Consider the following 20,032-nt stretch of genomic DNA (forward strand, 5'->3'; position numbering starts at 1 on the left):
GTAACTACCGGAGGACAGTAATGACTACTTTGCACAAAAGATGTTTGAAGATAATGTCCAAACATCTTCCATATCTGCACAGCAAATAATTGGGACAGTTTGCCCAGTGCCTGTGCTGATCCAAGTCCATCTCTTGGCAGAGGAGAATGTGGCAGAGTTTAGCAAATCCAACAAATGCGGGCTTGTGAAAGTTTCAAGATAAGCCTTACCATATACTTGAGTGTTTCATGTGTGTACAGATTAGAGACTTTCCTAGTGGCTGTGCCTAGAGCTTCAGATGTGTATATTGGGAAGGCAACTGCTGAAAACATTGATTATGGTCAAGGGATTCTTTACTGGTATTTGATTGTCAGCTTGGGGTTGTAGAAAATTTTGCAAATGGGGCAAGCCAAGCAATTAATTCTGAACAAATAAAATGTTCTAATTGAAATTAGTGTTTCCTTATTCCATGTGAGCCCTAAAGCACAATTAGAGCAATATGTATGGTTGTTGAGTGTTTTGTACTTAGGTATCATTTGCACGATTAAAAAGCAAAGTAAATGTTGGAAAGCCAATTCAGCAGATTAGTATCTGTAAAGAATAAATGATTGGAAATCATTCAAGGACGTTTATGAGCTTTAAGACGAACAATAAAAATTTATGAACTTAAGGCAGGAAGCCTCATATAATGCTTTGAAAGCCTTTTGAACACATGGAATTTCACAGTTCGAAAGAACTGCTATTTGATGGCTTTAGTCTTTTGGAATATACATGTGCTATATTTTTAAGGTTATATTTTTTGACTTAAGTAATTTATGCTGTAAAAGACAGAGGGATTTTAGTCAAAGGCCTCTTTTCCTAGTATAGATGTTGGCCTGTTGTCTTATCTTTTGCTTTGAGTTATCTTTATTCATTGGGATTTTGTAAGTCATATGTTATAGTAAGAAAAATACTTGACATTTATAGACTAAAATATTATGCTAAAAAGTTTCTAACATAACATTATCTGAAAAATCTAAGCTTGAAAAGTCTGCTATATTAAACTGATCATGAACTTTTAAAAAATCAGGTTTCAGGAGCTATTGTAATGAAGACTGGAACTGGCAGTAGGACAAACACATAGATCAATGAAAGAGAAGAGAGAACCCAGAAATAGACCCTCACAACTATGCCTAATAGATTGTTGGCAAAGGTGCACAAGCAATTTAATGGAGGACAGTCTTTTCAACAACTAGTGCCAGAACAATCAGATATCCATAGGCAAAAAATAAAAACAAAAAGCCCACAAAAAACAAAAACATCATATTGGCTTAAGCCACACACCTTATACAAACTCAGAATGGATCATGCTTTTAAATGTAAAGTATAAATCTATAAAACTTTTAGAAAAAAATGTTTGGGATTTAAGGCTAGGGAAAAATTTCTTAAACTGTATACCAAAAGCACAGTCCAAAGGAGGATAAACTATTGTTCCATGATAGACCCTGTTTTCAGGCTAAAAATACAAGTTACAGTCTAGAAGAAAATATTTGAAATTCCCATGTGTGACAAAGGATCAACATTCATATATAAAGAATTCTTAAAAATGAACGGTTAAAAACAACAACTATAACAAAAACACAACTATACAATCAGAAAGTGGGCCCAGACATGAAGAGACATTTCACTGAAGATTTACAGATGGCAATAAGTACATGAAAATATTTTAACATTACTAGCCAATAGGTAAATGCAAATTGAAACTACAATAGAATATCACTACGAATCTATCAGAATGGTTAATTTTTTTTAAGTGACCACACCCAATGATGGCAAGCATGCAGAGAAACTGGATCATTCATACATTGCAGTTGGAATGTATAATGGTACAGCTACTTTGGAAGATATTTTGATAGTTTTTTAAAAAACTAAGCATATATTTGGGTTGGTTCCAAGTCTTTGCTATTGTGAGTTATGCCACAATAAACATATGTGTGCATGTGTCTTTATAGCAGCATTATTTGTATTCCTTTGGGTATATACCCAGTAATGGGATGGCTGGGTCAAATGATATTTCTAGTTCTGGATCCCTGAGGAATTGCCACACTGTCTTCCACAATGGTTGAACTAGTTTACAGTCCAACAATGATAGACTGGATTAAGAAAATGTTGTGGGGTGGGGGAGTGGGGAGGGATAGCATTAGGAGATATACCTAATGCAAATGACGAGTTAATGGGTACAGCACACCAACATGGCACATATATACATATGTAACAAACCTGCACATTGTGCACATGTACCCTAGAACTTAAAGTATAATAAAAATAAATAAATAAATAAATAAATAAAAACCAAAAAAAAGAAATCTAATTATACCACATAAATAAACCAACATTTATTTAAACATTAAAAAAAAAACTAAGCATATACTACCATCCGACCCAGCAATTAAATTTCACTGGACAATTCCTTCAAGTCATTTATCCCGGATACATAAAAGTATTCACACAAAAACCTGTATGCAAATATTTGCAGCAGCCTTATTTATAATAGCCAAAAACTGAGACAGCCCAGATGTTCTTCAAAGGATGAATGGCTAGATAAACTGTGGTCCATTCATCCCATGTAATAAATATTCAGCAATACAAAGGAACAAGCTTTCAATGTAGACAGAAACATGGATAAATCTTCGGAATTATGCCAAGTGAAAAAAAAACAGTCCCAAATATGATTGTTTGTATGATTTCATCTATATAACATTCTCAAAATGGCAAAATTAAAGAAATGAAGAAGAGATTAGTAGTTTCCAGGAGAAAAGGAGGGAAATGAGAGCAGCTTTTTTTGTTTTATGGGACAACAAGAGGGATCTTTGTGGAGATAGAAATGCTCTGTATCTTAATTATATAAATGTCAATGTCCTTGTTGTTTTCTTGACCTGGTTGTTTACTTGACCAGGATTTCTTATAGTTTTATAAGATAGTATCGGTGGGGAAAACTGGGTGAAGAACACCTGTGATCTCTCAGTATTATTTATTATAATGGCATGTAAAAATAATTATGTCAAAATAAAAGATTTTAACTTGAAAAAGCTGTAATTTTTTAAAAAGTCCTAAAATAAGGCAAATTTTTTTTTTTTCCGGTGGGAGGGAGGCCGAGAGTTTCACTCTTGTTGCCCAGGCTGTAGTACAATGCACGATCTCTGCTCACTGCAACCTCCACCTCCCAGGTTCAAGTGATTCTCTTGCCTCAGCCTCCTGAGTAGCTGGGATTACAGGCATGCACCACCACGCCCAGCTAGTTTTGTGTTTTTAGTAGAGATAAAGTTTCACCATGTTGGTCAGGCTGGATTTGAACTCCTGACCTCAGGGGATCCACCCGCTTCAGCCTTGCAAGTGTGAGCCAACATGCCTGGTGGCAAAAGTTTTTTTTTTTTTTTTTAATTCAGTTTCAATTTATTTTATTAAGTGTATGGATTATGCAAGATCATTGAAATCTTTTACCCCGAACAAGGTACTGGAAAGAGGTAAAAAGATTTAAGTATGCATTTCCACATTTATAGTTTTATGCAAATCTGATACAGTTTTTAAAGATTAGTGAATGAAAATAGTTAAAAGTAGTAAAAAATGATCAATTATTAAATAAACTAGTGAAATTAGTTTGAGAACTTTTGTATTCTTGTCCAAGTCAGTTGATTTCTATCTAGAAGAACAATTTTTACTATTTGTTTTCAGGGAAGCTGGTTAACTGTCTATGAAAAGTAAAACTGTTTTAGGTTATGCCAGATCATCCCTGATAGTGTCACAATAACCATTCTCTAAACACAGAAACTGAAACTGCTTTTTCATCTTATTTTTAAATAGTAACTTTGTGTAATTTAGGTTTATGTTTTTAAAATGTGGAATAAGGAACATAAAACTAGGTTAACTTTGAGTATTTGGACAAAATAGGGCACAAACTTTTAAAAATATAATTAACAATATAAACATAATTATGGACCAGTCTTCATATTCTTATGGTCTTTTTTTTCTTATCAAGGAACAATAAAGATACTTTATGACAAAATAACTGGAGGTGAAAGAATGCTAGCATTTAAATAAATTTTAGAAACTTTATTTCACCATTTTATATCATTTCATTTATTTATTCATTTTATTTATTAATTATGTCCCAGGTGCAATTGCTGGGCTGTATATTATAGGGTGTATTTGTGGGTATGCTCACATAAATTGAATTACCTCCTTCAAGAAATTTATAACCAGGAAGAGGTGATATGACACAAACATTTATATCCACAGCATACAACATCATGTTATGTATCATATATATGGTAGTTTCAAAGAATAAGGAAAACTTTTACTCAGGGTAATCATGTTAGAGAAGAATCATATGCTGGGCTTTGAAGAGCAGACAGCTAAAAATGAATAGAAAAACAGGAGTTTGAGACCAGCCTGGCCAACATGGTGAAATGCCATCTCCACAAAAAATACAAAAAATTTAGTTGGGTGTGGTGGCACACACCTGCAGTCCCAGCTACTTTGGAGGCTGAGGAGGAGAATCACTTGAACCCAGGAGGCAGAGATTTTAGTGAGCTGAGATTGACTACTGCACTCCAGCCTGAGTGACAGGGCAAGACTCTGTCTCAAAAAAAAAAATTAAATAAAGAAATAGATAAATAAATAAATAAGGCAAGCAGTCATTCTCACTCTTGGCTATGGCATTAGAATCATCTGGAGAGTTTTACAAATTGTTTATGCTGAGGCCCTCTCCTGCAGAAACTCTGATTTAATTGGCCTGAGGTATAGCCCCAGCTTTGGAGTTTTACAAACTCCCCAGGAGATAATGTGCAGCTAGGGTTGAAGACCATTGAATTTAAGTGAACTGATCTCTTCCACCCATTGAAGACTTTCCAGATTTCAGAAAAGGGAAACATTAGAAATAAAAATAAAAACAGCTAATTATTTAAACTGCATGTATTTTGTGCCAAAGTCTTTACTTGTACACGCTTAATCCTTATATCTTTTATTCTTAACACACAACAGTAGTTGGTGTTATTCTTCCTTTATTGGTGAAAATACAGAGACTAACTTACCTAATATGATTCAAGATTGAGTTTTTTTTTTTTTTTCCTGAAACAGTGGGTCTCAATGTACATGCTCAGCATAGCAGCATCAGCATAGCCTGGGAAGTTATTAAAAATCCAAATTCTGTTGTCCCATTGAGACAGAAACTCTAGGAGTGGGCCCAGCAATCTGTGGTTTGACAAGCGTAAGTGATTCTGATGCATTCAAGACTGAGAACCAGTGTTTAGGGACCTGATTCCTTAAACTGCAAGAGCGCTACCTAAGAAGAGAGCTACGCAGCCAGAATCTCACCATATGCAGGACAAAGATTAATAGAAAATATCATTTAAGAGCAATGATCTACCCTGTTTTTCTTTAGTTTTTCACAATTATTTCTTCCTGGATTTAACGTCCAACTGTTCATTTCTGACCTTGGATGTTGCTCTAGTAACAAATTTACCCTTCAAGGTTAATGTTTGATCTGTTTTCATTATAGGTGGCATAGTGGGGTGTGCATGGAAGTTGGAAGAAAATATGTGTTTAAATTCAAATTATCCATATTAAAATTTGTATTGAAATATAACATACCTATAGGAGCTTGCATATACTATGAAGATAGCTTGAACTTCTATAAACCAAACACCTGTATGGTGCCATCACCCAGATAAAGCAGCAAAACATTGCTGTTCTCCATTCTGTTACTACGAGCCACAAGGGAGAACACTGTCTACATTTGTAAAGATTAATTCTGCCTGTTTTTGCACTTTAGGTAAATTCACACACTATGTACTGTTTTGTGTATCTCTTATTTTACTCAATAATTAGTTCATAAAATATATCCGTAGTTTTCAAGTATTGTATAACAGATTGTACATTCCCACTATGATATACCATTCCATTGCACATATCACAATTGATCCACTCTACTGTTGATTAGATTGTAATACAGATGTACATGAGCAATGCATTATTGTATAGATTATTTGTCTGATCACTCTCTATTTCCCATCCATTACTCTGCTTCTTCTTTGACACCTATTTCAAAAAAATATTATTTAAGAGGGCACAAACATTTTTTGGGTGCTTAGATAGTGCATCTGCCGTGGAAGTGTGTTTATCAATGTAAACCTCCCAAAGTCCCGCTTCTTGGCTGTTTATATCATATTTTACAGAGGAGACAGACTTAGAGATATTAACTAACTTCCTCAAGGGCCCCAGTTCACAGTTGCAGAGCTGGGAGTGAATTTTTTTTCTTAGCTCCAAAGTCCCTAGCTTTTCGATTACTTTGTCATTTTCAGAAAGTTCTTATTTATCTTTACAGATTAACTGTGTATTTTCCTATTTATTTGAAATCATATCAACTAATTCCTAATTAATTAATTGGAAGGCAAGTGAAACATACTACAATATGTATTTAATAAACATATTACAATATCAAACAATATATGATTTTCAATACTCAGTACTTAATATACTTCTCCAGACATAGTGGTTAGACATTTTATTTTTGTATTTGCATCTTTACAACTGTTTCTCAAAATAGTCAATGAAATAATCATTCTGGAATGCCTTTTAATGCCATAAAATTAAAACCATACTTTTAAAGAAGATGAAAGCATTCCAAAGTATGGCAAATCATGATATGTTAAAACCTTGATGATCAGAATATTTGTGGTTAATATTTGTCATCTAGTATTTTGATAGTCAACATATCAGACTAAATTATTTTTTCAGCATTCTGAGTCATGTATATAAATAGTTTTAATTTAACCAATAAATCTATGTAATTTTATATATTATCCATATATATTTGGAATTATTGGTCCATTGGAATTATTTAACAATTGTATTTTTAAGCCATCCTTAAAAAGTCAAGAGTCCTTTACCGCATTTTTTTAAGGACAAACATGAAGTAAGGAGAAATCAATTTTTTTAAAATTTTTAAACAAATTTATAGTTTTATAGTTTTCTTGTTTGGATTTAAAATACACCATGTCAAGTAGACTAGTTAACTATTTTACACTGTCAACCACTTTCTTAATACATCTTATGTTTGTTATCAGAAACTTTAATTAAATTTACTCTTGTTTCAGCAGAATTAGAGCTGTCCTCTATACATAATGGGACATAAATCTGCATAAGAATTAGCTTTTTCCGAATGCAAGAGTAACAGTTGAATGAATCCTTTAAATCGTGTCTACTAGAGGGAACAAATCAACCGTAGCTGGGCTACATCTGCTATGTTAGTAGTATCTGTCCTCTAAATTCGATGCTCTGCAAAAGATCAGCATTGTTATTTTCTACAGTTAGATGCATTCATTTCAGTTTAGGTCTCTACTATTTTATAGCTCTGGGTACAGAATTATTTTTCTGGTAAGTATCTATTTTAACTAAGAAGTAATCCTGTAAAATGCATCCTGCATGCACTACTGCTTTAAGAAGTAACTCTTCTCTAGTGAATTATCTAATTAAAGTCTGGACCTTAATACTTCAGTGCTTTACAATTACAGATACATATTTAAAAATTCTGGGGGAGTACATAATCTGGTTATAGAATTATCTAGGCTGTTAAAATTCATACATTCGGGGTTCACTAATATTTCAAAAAATACAAACTCAAAGAAAGCACAGTCTGGGAAAGTTACTGTGTTCAAACATGTGGGACTCTGAGTTCATCCTGAAATCCTCCTGCCTTCTAGTGCCCATAGAATACTCACCTTTCCTCGTTTGTAGTTGCTGCTGCTGAACTGCCTTCCTATGTAACCTTCTCCTTACTACACAGAGATATTAAGGCATTAAAAATAAGTTAGTATCAATTTTGGAATATTTCTTTTGGGTTAAGGCAAAAATTGAAAAGTCCCTAGGAGGTGGACAAAAAGGAAGGAAAGAAGTAAACACAAGAAATATTTTTGGAAGCCAGTATTTACAACATTTTTTGGTGAAAGTTACTAATGTATTTATCAATTTATCACTAATTAAACAACACACTTTTATTTATTTTTTTATTTTTTATTTTTTTTTATTATTATACTTCAAGTTTTAGGGTACATGTGCACAATGTGCAGGTTAGTTACATACGTATACATGTGCCATGCTGGTGTGCTGCACCCACTAACTCGTCATCTAGCATTAGGTATATCTCCCAATGCTATCCCTCCCCACTCCCGGCACCCCACAACAGTCCCTAGAGTGTGATGTTCCCCTTCCTGTGTCCATGTGATCTCATTGTTCAATTCCCACCTATGAGTGAGAATATGCGGTGTTTGGTTTTTTGTTCTTGCGATAGTTTACTGAGAATGATGATTTCCAATTTCATCCATGTCCCTACAAAGGACATGAACTCATCATTTTTTATGGCTGCATAGTATTCCATGGTGTATATGTGCCACATTTTCTTAATCCAGTCTATCATTGTTGGACATTTGGGTTGGTTCCAAGTCTTTGCTATTTTGAATAATGCCGCAATAAACATACGTGTGCATGTGTCTTTATAGCAGCATGATTCATAGTCCTTTGGGTATATACCCAGTAATGGGATGGCTGGATCAAATGGTATTTCTAGTTCTAGATCCCTGAGGAATCGCCACACTGAGTTCCACAATGGTTGAACTAGTTTACAGTCCCACCAACAGTGTAAAAGTGTTCCTATTTCTCCACATCCTCTCCAGCACCTGTTGTTTCCTGACTTTTTTAATGATTGCCATTCTAACTAGTGTGAGATGGTATCTCATTGTGGTTTTGATTTGCATTTCTCTGATGGCCAGTGATGGTGAGCGTTTTTTCATGTGTTTTTTGACTGCATAAATGTCTTCTTTTGAGAAGTGTCTGTTCATGTCCTTCGCCCACTTTTTGATGGGGTTGTTTGTTTTTTTCTTGTAAATTTGTTTGAGTTCATTGTAGATTCTGGATATTAGCCCTTTGTCAGATGAGTAGGTTGCGAAAATTTTCTCCCATTTTGTAGGTTGCCTGTTCACTCTGATGGTAGTTTCTTTTGCTGTGCAGAAGCTCTTTACTTTAATTAGATCCCATTTGTCAATTTTGCCTTTTGTTGCCATTGCTTTTGGTGTTTTAGACATGAAGTCCTCGCCCATGCCTATGTCCTGAATGGTATTGCCTAGGTTTTCTTCTAGGGTTTTTATGGTTTTAGGTCTAACGTTTAAGTCTTTAATCCATCTTGAATTGATTTTTTTATAAGGTGTAAGGAAGGGATCCAGTTTCAGCTTTCTACATATGGCTAGCCAGTTTTCCCAGCACCATTTATTAAATAGGGAATCCTTTCCCCATTGCTTGTTTTTCTCAGATTTCTCAAAGATCAGATAGTTGCAGATATGTGGCGTTATTTCTGAGGGCTCTGTTCTGTTCCATTGATCTATATCTCTGTTTTGGTACCACTACCATGCTGTTTTGGTTACTGTAGCCTTGTAGTATAGTTTGAAGTCAGGTAGTGTGATGCCTCCAGCTTTGTTCTTTTGGCTTAGGATTGACTTGGTGATGCGGGCTCTTTTTTGGTTCCATATGAACTTTAAAGTAGTTTTTTCCAATTCTGTGAAGAAAGGCATTGGTAGCTTGATGGGGATGGCATTGAATCTGTAAATTACCTTGGGCAGTATGGCCATTTTCACGATATTGATTCTTCCTACCCATGAGCATGGAATGTTCTTCCATTTGTTTGTATCCTCTTTTATTTCCTTGAGCAGCGATTTGTAGTTCTCCTTGAAGAGGTCCTTCACCTCCCTTGTAAGTTGGATTCCTAGGTATTTTATTCTCTTTGAAGCAATTGTGAATGGGAGTTCACTCATGATTTGGTTCTCTGTTTGTCTGTTGTTGGTGTATAAGAATGCTTGTGATTTTTGCACATTGATTTTGTATCCTGAGACTTTGCTGAAGTTGCTTATCAGCTTAAGGAGATTTTGGGCTGAGACAATGGGGTTTTCTAGATATACAACAACATACTTTTAAATAGCATCTTTTTATTTTGAAATAATATAACTGTATTATAGAGAATCTGAAAATACACACACAAAAAAAGAAGATAGAAATAATGCCTCTATCCACCTCCGTTTTTTAGAGAAAACCACTGTTAATGTACTGGTTTATCTCATCTAATTCTTATTTATTGTTATTAGTATGTAATATTTTTTCCACTTATAGACAAAATTATAAAAATAGTATAACACAGTTTACTATCATGAACATTCCACTATGAACATTGTTCCTTGTCTTAAATATTTCTCAAAAACATTATTTTAATGGCTTTACCATCTTTTCATGTGGTGATATCATAATTTATTCAACTCAATATCTTTAATATTTATAGATAGTTGACAGATTAGCACTCTCACTATTACAAAAATCTGTCCTGCAACGAACACTAATAAATATCTGTCTTTGTTTATTCTCAGTTAAATTAATGAGACTGAAATTATGGGATTATATATTTTTTACATTAATTAGTGTTCTTGATGCATATTGCTAAAATGCCCACTAGAAAGCAAAGTAAATGTATGCTTCCCCAGTAAAGAGAAATAATTTAAGGTTCCTTTTGGTTTATGATGCTATTTTATAGGACACGAATGCTTTTTCTAAGGTAAATGAACAAACATAAACAACAAAATTATTTATGGATAGGAGAATCTGTGATATGTTAGCAATTTCTGATTCCTTCTTACACTGAAAGCTCTGTGATTCATATTCACTCTCTAAGTGCAAATATCTAAGCTCAAGTCATTGAGAAAGTAAACCTATTTTAAAAAAAATAAACACCTTCAATATCAAATAATTGCCTTCATTACTCTGGTAAAATTACACTAGGATTAATAGATGAGTAGAATTAGCAAGCGATGGAGTAAAAGTAAGTTTCTCCTCATAGGAGTTATTTAGTGAGACTTATTTTAAAACTGTTACTACACAAGACAGTCCTTAATTGTAAAACATAATGGAGTCATCATTTGTATCTATTCACAGGTAGTTTATTTCTATAGAAATAATATCATGTTCTCATTTTAAACTGCAAGATGCAGGTTCCAACCTTCTTCTTTAGCTTTGCATTCATTTACAACATACAGGTAAATTTGAAACATGTTTTTAGAATTGGTACCTATATATACTTGTATTAAGATTATGGACTCTTCTTTAGTTCAGTGGGTTCCTGCATGTGCCTGTTATTTATTTTTACTATCATGAGATAAGTATCTAAGACAATAAAGCAACCTATTTCCTTATGGTGTGTTGACTGGCAAAGAATCCCCTTGCACATGGGGAGGCCACAAAGTAGAAATAGGCTTAGCATGGAGAAAAAGTAAAGTGAGTCCCTATATATTTGGCAAATATTAGGTTGAATGTGAGTTAAGCAGTTTTCTCTATTATAAGGCTTTAGAGAGATTTTAATAAGTTAGTGTATTATAATTTATCAAATGGAAGAAAACATAGTTATTGCACCCTGACTTTACTTGAGACACATCACTGTTTTTTTTTTTTTTTTTCTCATGGATCTGTGTATGGTCTAGAACAAAAAAACATACTTTGGGCAGTAGTATATTAGGAAAATACTATGATACTAAGTAAAAAGATCTTATTCTGGTCACCTAATAATGACGCACATCTGCCGAACTTCATGTCATAAAGCAGTAATTTATTGTGATCATAGATTCTGCAGATCAGGGTTTCTAGAAGGGCTTGGCTGTACATTTCCCACTCGAAGGCTTAGGTGATTGATGCCAGATGTGGGGGCTGCAGTCATCTGAAGGCCTGGCTGAGCTGGGAGCTATACTTTCAAAGTGGCTCATTCACATGGCTGGCAAGTTGATACCAGTTGTTGACTGAGAACCTCAGTTTTTCCATGTGTAGCTGTCCACAGGGCTACTTCCATGTCGTCATGAGAGGGCTTAAGGCTTCCCCCAGTCTAGGTAATCCAAGGGAGCCAGGCAGAGTCTGCAACACTGTAGCCTTGAAACCCATAAACCATCACTAGCACTCTAGTGTGTGTCACACAGGCACAGCTGTGATTACAGGTGGGAAGGAAGCAATGAGGCCATGAAATTCAAGAGATGAGAATGACTGATGGCTCTCTCCCTTGACACAGATCCTGAAACAAAGGAAGTAAATTGCATGAAGACTTGGAAAATGCCTCAGGAAATCACGATAGAGTTCTGAATACTAGTTAGGTGTAGTGAGGTTAGGTGGCTTTGAAGCTGGCTGAATAGCCATATCCAGAGAACTGTGATTAATTGATATTACATGTGAGAGCCTCCATGGATCGATCAGAAACCTATATTATTATGTATTATTAATATTTTCATGTCTGTTTCTTGTTCTATACACTTTAATGAGTTTAAAATAAATAGATAAAAGTATACTTATCATAGTTTTGAATGAGCAAGGTAGAATAGAGGGTTGATTTACAGATAATCTATATAATCAAGATTACAGATAACCTAGGGGTGGCAATGCTGACTGGAGTTCAAATGATTAAACTTAACAGTGTTTAGAGTGAATTTAAGCATGCATTTTATAAAAATCTGGCTCCCAAAATGTAGCGTGAAGGATAGTAATGGACACACTAACTTAAGTAACGTTATTGGCCACAGCTCAGTATAAATTCAGGCTGTCACATTAACTTTAAAAACACTGATAAATTTTTAGGTTGGTTAATAAAATTAAACTACCTAGAACCGTGTGCCAATACTGCAGTCACCAGCCACATGTGTCTATTGAGGACTTGAAATGTGAGTAGTCCAAATTGAGGTAAAAATTGTACTTCCCAGATTTTGAAGACTTAATAAAAAACAGAAAAACATAATATTAATTATGTATCATATTCATGATATGTTTAAATAATATTTGGGATATACTGGGTTAAATAAAATATATTAGTAATTGATTTAACCAGTTACTCTTTATTTTCTATGAACATAGCTACTGAAAATAAGCTTACATATGCTGGGTTTGGGTTACATTTCTGTTGCTCAGTGCTGCTCGGTGGATACAGGAGGTGGATATATCAGTGTTCTAAGGGCTTATTGGAAAACACCTGGGATACTCTAGCCAATTAGAGGCTGTATAGGAGACAGTCATAATTCTCAAAGATTTAGCAATTGTGATGAAGGAATTATGTAATTGTGGAAAAGGAAAACTCTGGAAAATATGGGAAGAATAATAGATATATTCAGTATTGGAGGGCTATCACAGAGAAAAGAAGTTAGATATATTTCTAAGCATAAAACTAGGGCCCTTGATATGAAATGGTGCCAGGAAGGCAGATTTTGGCTCCACATAATGAAGCCCTCTCTTAACACTTGTTTTTTCACTAATAGAAGGCCTAGTGTTGAAGTCAGTGAGCCTTTTTCTCTAGAAATATTCAAAAGATGGGTAGATAATTGTCCATCACAGGCATTGTGCAAGGAAATCTACCATGGGTGAGTTATGTTGAAATAGTTAAATTTCACTGTTTTCCATTAATCCAAGAAGGATAACAGTTTTACTTCTGAAATACATCATACCATAAACACAGGAAAAAAGAGATGTGACTTTCCAACTAATATGTCAAGTTTGAAATGTTGCAGCTTATATGGACCTTGATTTTTCTTGCTACAAATTTCAATCAAAGCAGTAGACTTTGTTCCATGTAATCGTATCTTTTTTGAAAAGTATCAAATATGGAATAACTTTTCAGAGAACCGTAACAGTAATAATTCTTAGTAGAAACAGAAAACTTCAAGTTAAAAAAAAAAACCACAACCAGATATACACACAGAGAAGAAATTCAGAAGTAATATTTGCTAATATTTTCTAATTATACCAAGACAGCAATGTTATGATTCCTAGTTGGAGTTTATACTAATTAATTTTCAATTGTTTTCACGCTGCCTATTTTAAAAAGGAAAACAGTTAAAGGTTGTGTGTTAGTAAATTAACCAGCTCAAAGAGAGTGTATAGTGTGGGGGTCTCTAAATAGAAAGGACCTTAGTGTTTCTGAGGAAAGAAGAAATGTAGAATATAATTAGCCATGAGGTCAACACAGTTTTAAAAGACCTTGGCCAGAAAATGACCAAGGCTTTATGGTCAAAACATTTATACTTTATTTTTCACAGCAAATTTTTGTTAAGATATAAAATATAATCTACTGTACTTGAAATAGACTGAAGTATTGCATTATGATGCTTAATTCTACTTACTTAAACTTCATGATGTTTAATTAAAATTCACACACATTTTTCTTCCCTTTTCCTCTTGGGATCATTTAAGGCTAAAACTGGAACTTAATCTGTGAGGTAAATCCAACACCAAGTACAGTGTATGTGCACATTATAGTCATTTGTTTGTTTCTTTAATAATTGAATAAGTGGGGGAAACAAAGCTTGTCTATATTGGGAGAAAATATGCATTTTCTGCATCTTCCTAATTCCTTTTCAAGAGACTTGTTTCAAAATAAGAGATACCTTACAGGCTGAGGAAAAGCTAGTGGTATTTGTGTGAATTTTGATCTTCATAAAGAAACATTAAATAATCTAAGTTATTCGTGCATAATTTTGCACCTTAAACTAGTTTTGCACCTATAATTTTGCACTTAAACTTGTGAATACTGTCAGACAATGGTTTTCATCATATTTTCTTTCTGGATAAAAAAATTCTGTCCATAATATTTCAAATACAAAAACATTAGCAATTTTCAATCCAAGGATATCACTTTGTTATTATTACTTTTCTCTTCATAAAGAATAGAAGAGCACTTTTTTGCAGTTGAATTTCATTTAATATGTATGCCTGTATAGTAACACATTCTGAGGGAGAGCATTTTATTAATAATTTACATTTTCTTTGTTTGCAGATTGAATGATGCCATGAGAACAATTAATGGCATAGATGTTCATTTACTCTCCCTCATAATTTCTAAGCAAAAGCATTTTTGTATTTATTGAAGGGATGCAAAATACAGGCATCTTGTAAAAGATACTGTGAAAGGGGAAATTTTCTAAATAATGAATGTTGTTAATAGTCATGATGTTTATGTAGAATATAAATTTAAAACCTATAATTAGGTTATTGTGGATTATACCTGTATTTATTAGTTATTCACTTATAAAATGAATTGTGGTATTTGTTTTCAGAAAAATGTTCCAAATTATGGGGCAACATCCCATGCCCCAAAAAATATCCTGTTTCCTGTTATTGGAGAGTTAGGTTAATTTAAAATTTCCCACTATTATAAACAATGTTGCGATGATCATCCTTGCCCTTAAAACTGTGGCTGCATTTCTGATAAATCACTGTATCAAGTGATATTAATTTTGTAGAGGTTATTGAGGCATATTACTGCATTTCATTCCAAGAAGTTTCAAACAGCACTTCCTCTAGCTTTGTGTTTATGTGTGTTGGGGTGTGTGTATCTGTGTGTGTGTGCGAGAGAGAGAGAGAGATTTTTAAAATTTAACCTTTTATGCGTTATTAGTTTTGTGGATGAGATAATTGCATAGAAAGTTCAGATAATTTGCTAAAGATCTGCTGGATAATAACAGAGCTGGGATCAGAATCAAAGGCTCATGATATTAGCCATAACGTTAACATGATCTTTTTATGTTAAAATACTAGGTTAATTAATCATAAATTCATTCAATAACTATCCATGGAAAGCTTACTATGTAAGCTTTCTCCTGCACTATATGCCATGGATATAGCACAGAACAAAACAAATGATAATCCCTTGCATAATAGTGGGGAGAGATAAAGATAAAAGAAAATAAATAAGTAAATTACGTAGCATGTTACATGGTGGTAAGTGCTAGGGAGACTTTTATTTTACATTTTATTTCACTTTTACTTACTTTTAAGTACAGACTCACACAAATTTGCAAATGAGTATAGAGACCTTTGTATTCCTTACCCATCAGCAAAATCCCCCCAGTGGTGACATCTTGCATACAAATAGTGCATTATCAAAACCAGACAATTGACTAGCATAACATAATTCATACAATTATAGATCTTAAACCTGTTTTTGCATATGCTCATTTTCTGACATGCCTTTGTGTGTGATTCTATGACATTTTTTATTATACGTAACTACCGCTACCATCACAACTGAGATACAGAACTGCTCTGTCACCACAACGAAAATCTCTTTTGCTTCCCCTTTATACTCACATCTCTGGCTACTTATCTAATTTCTGGCAACCCGTTTTCCATTTCTATAATTTTGTCATGTTAGGAATGATATATAAACAGAATCATGAAGTATATAATTTTTTGAAATTGGCTTATTTTATATTGTCCAACATAATGCCCTTAAGTTCCATCCACATTGTTTTGTGTGCCAAGATTTTGTTCCTTTCCATTGCTGAGTAGTAGACAGTGACATGTAAAGCAAAAAGGAAGATGCCATTAAAAAGGGTGCAGTTTTCAATGCAGTGGTGAGCAAAGAGGCATTCCACAGGAAATGACACCTAAGTGTCGACCTAAGGAAGTGAAGAAAGATTCTTGTGCATATTTGTGGGAAGAGTGTCCTAGGTAAAGGGAATATCCTGAGTAAAATTTTGGAGCAGCCAGGAAGCCCTTTTGGCCTGAGCAGTGAGAGAGAGCACAAGCATTAAGAGATGACATTAAAAAAAAAAAGAGAGAGATGACATTGAGACCCATTTTAAAGCCCTGTAGACTCTACAGTTTGTGGTAACTGCAGTAACTGTATAACTATGGTGATTGTATTAGGTGACTCAAATTTCCCATGACGTTACTTCTAAACTCTGAAGAGATTGAAAGAATTATCCCTTCCCTACGTGTGTAGCAAAATGAATATTTTATAATAGAAAAATAGTTTAATTGCAATTTTATCTTTTAAAAAGATTTCCATTTTAAAAAATGGAATATAAAGAACTTTATATTCCATTTACGAAATGTTGTGTCAGTGTTGTCAAACCTTTAAGTAACTTTGGCATGAGACGGGAAGCATATATTCTATTACTTTTCATCATCCATGATTTTTACTTTGTGAAAACCTCAGTTGGGGGATGCAAAAGGAATAGAATTTACTGGAAGAACAGAGATAGCACCTCGTATGAATCAGAGGACATTGCATCACAGTTGGGGTCCTCAGCCCAGCAGAGAATATCACAGCAAACACTAAATAGACCTGCCAGAAAATTCCGGTCTTCCGGTCCATTTGGGCAGTTATGTGATCTAAGTCAAGTCTCAGTCTTTCACTCTATCAAAGAATAAAAAGGGTATAAGTCATTTTGACAGGTCTCAAAAGCATCTTAGTAAATGAACAAAGCTCAGGACATCAAAGTTGACGATGTTAATCAAAGACTGAATTGAACTGGTGCTTGGGGGACTGGCAGTCCTAATCTGATTTTCACAAACATGCCAATATCAATAAACTTGCAGGTAAACACACAGCCAAATAAATAGAAGTGCATTCATTTTTGCTAAATACTAGATATTTGATTTCTTTAATTCTGTACTATGTAATTGGAAGCTTACATTTTGGTGTTTTACATGTATTTCTAACACCGCATATAAACTCTTTAAAGGCAGACACATGCTGGGTTTTTTTTTGTCTCCCTCACATGCCTAGAATATAGAATCAGTATGTCTTCAGTCACTAGCTGTGAAAAAAATTCATTTATCTGACATCGAAAAACACAAGTCATTGCTTTTGGTTATGTGTGAATGTCGCTGTTGCTGTAAATAAATTCAGACACAGTCAATGAGCGTTAACATTTGATTGTTATTCCTTCTGCTTATAACAAAGAACTATGAGATGAAATCTAACTGCCAAGAATCAGTAGGGGAAAGTAGTCATTGTGTTAATTTCAATGCTGCGGTGTAAATTTCATTAATATTAAATGGATTTTTATTTAACAATTGTAACTTCAAAGGGGACAAAAAATTAATTACCTTAACAAATTGAAAAGTCTTCCCTTCCGCTGTACAGGTAAGGAAAATAATTAAAGAAAAAAAAAAACAATCCTGAAGAAACACTGACTCTCACATGCTTATTTTCTTCCTGAAAATGTGAGATAGTAAAAACTGAGGAATAAATTAAAATTTGCTTCTAATGTTATAAAATTTTGTCACAAAAACCATAATAAAAATGAAAATTTCTTATGATATTTGTAGAATATTCAATAATCCTTGAGAAAGTGTCAATATAGTCAGCTTTCTGGAATTACAGGTGTATGCTGTTGTTATAGTTTTAATTTCTTGTTTTTACATATAAACCTCCTGGGCTACCTTCAGCATATGTGTCCATGATTGACAGTAAAGAGTTGCTATTTCTGCAAGTCTTTTCATGCCGAGATCAATTTTCCCATTTAGTCCATATTAATTCCTAAGTATTCACATCTTACAAAATTAAGTGAGAGAGTGTAATCTCAATTGAGGCCATGGGAAATATGAGCAACCTGGTCAAGGTTTTAAACCTGTCATCATGGATTATTTTGTATTTGTCCCTGAGTTCATTCTGGCCCAAAATCTAACTGCCCATCCTACAACTACTTAGTTAAGCCTTTCCTCCCATCAAGAGTATAACTCTGGTTATAGGCTTTAAGTCTGGCTTATTTTAAGGGTCAAAGCTAAATCAGGCCACTTGAATTTAGACTGGTGTCACTCGCTGTTCTTAAGGGCAACATAACATATGGCATTCAAGCATATCCTCCTGAAAAGACTGAACTTTACCTACAGAGGGGTATAAACTGTTCCTCACTGCTGCTGGTGGTGGTGAATTGATTTCAAATGTAGGGTTGCTTATAGTTGGAGGATGTTTCCTTTTGCTTTATTTTGGTTCGTATTTTCTGTTTGTTAAATACAGAAAAGAGGCTGTTTATCCTCAGAAAGTTTTTCTTGACTGCTGCCTAAGTTGTTTTCTTTCTTCTGGGTTAAAGAAGGTTTTCTGGGATAGTTACCGAGAAATGACAGTGATTTTTATGTCAGAGGGGATGGTAGAATACCTCGATTTATTACTGAGGCCCAAAAAAGTCAAGTGACAAAAAAATCTAGGCAGCGGCAGAGTCTGACCTAGATGATATGTTTCCAAATGCTCAATAAAAGACTGTTGTTTAAAATACTCCATGTCAATGGCAAAAGGAAAAATTTTATTCTCTCCAAAAAAGTTGGTAAAAGACAGACATATATCTTGATCTCTTTCAAATACTAATTACCTTGCATTTCTTTCACATATCTACTCATTCATTTTTAAATTATTAAATATGAGGAAATGCGGTAGGTAATAGACATAAAAATAGTTACATGTAATTCCTGCCTTTCATTTGAAGAGTTCACAGTGTAGTTGGGAAAATTTGTATAAATAGAAGAATTACAGAACATTAGAGCAAGGAGCAAAGAAAAGCTCCAAAATTCCAAGAAGAAGGCATCAAAACTGTTATGAAGATTGGGTCGGAGTTTTCCAATATTTTTTTCTTTTTAAGTGGGAAGATGCCTTCAGGCATGTACAGAACAGAGCCATGAAAGGTCATAGTGTGTTTGCACAACAGTGAGAGACTTGGTGTGGTAGGAGAGTTGGGAAATAAAGTCTGGAAATCAGAAGTTTAATTCATGTATTTGCTAATTATTTTCAATCCCTGAAGTTAGCTGTGATGAAATTAAATCACAAATCCCCAAATCCTCAAGGGCTCATAAATCCTCAAATCCTCACTGGCTCACAAAGACTATATGGGATTTTTACATCAGGAAAGAGCTGCCTATTTGTTGGTTGAGAATGCTGTTTTTATATGGCACCTCCAGTCCTAATGAGTTTCACAAGATCACAGGAAGCTACAGAGTCTCTTGTGCACCCTCTGACCTAGGACTTGCAGTAAAAGTAGATGTCATGGTCCCCCCTTTATTTAATGTTTTCATCCTTGATGCTCAGGGCTTTTCCAACGCATTCTTGACCTTGCTAGTTCCGTTTCTATTTGAGAATGGACAAAAAAGGCAAGAGGAAGCTCTGAGCAACGCCTAGATTTAGGAATGACTGACCCTCTTAGACTTAAGGTCTAAATCTGCATTCGGATTTGGGAACATC

General features: G+C 34.2%; 1 protein-coding gene across 24 annotated transcripts in view; it reads left to right on the forward strand.

The window, feature by feature from the left end:
* Nucleotides 1-20,032, forward strand: part of DPP10 (dipeptidyl peptidase like 10) — a 1,403,140-nt gene that overhangs the window by 1,083,439 nt on the left and 299,669 nt on the right.

Source organism: Homo sapiens, chromosome 2 (genome assembly GCF_000001405.40).
Source record: "Homo sapiens chromosome 2, GRCh38.p14 Primary Assembly".
NCBI lineage: Eukaryota > Metazoa > Chordata > Mammalia > Primates > Hominidae > Homo > Homo sapiens.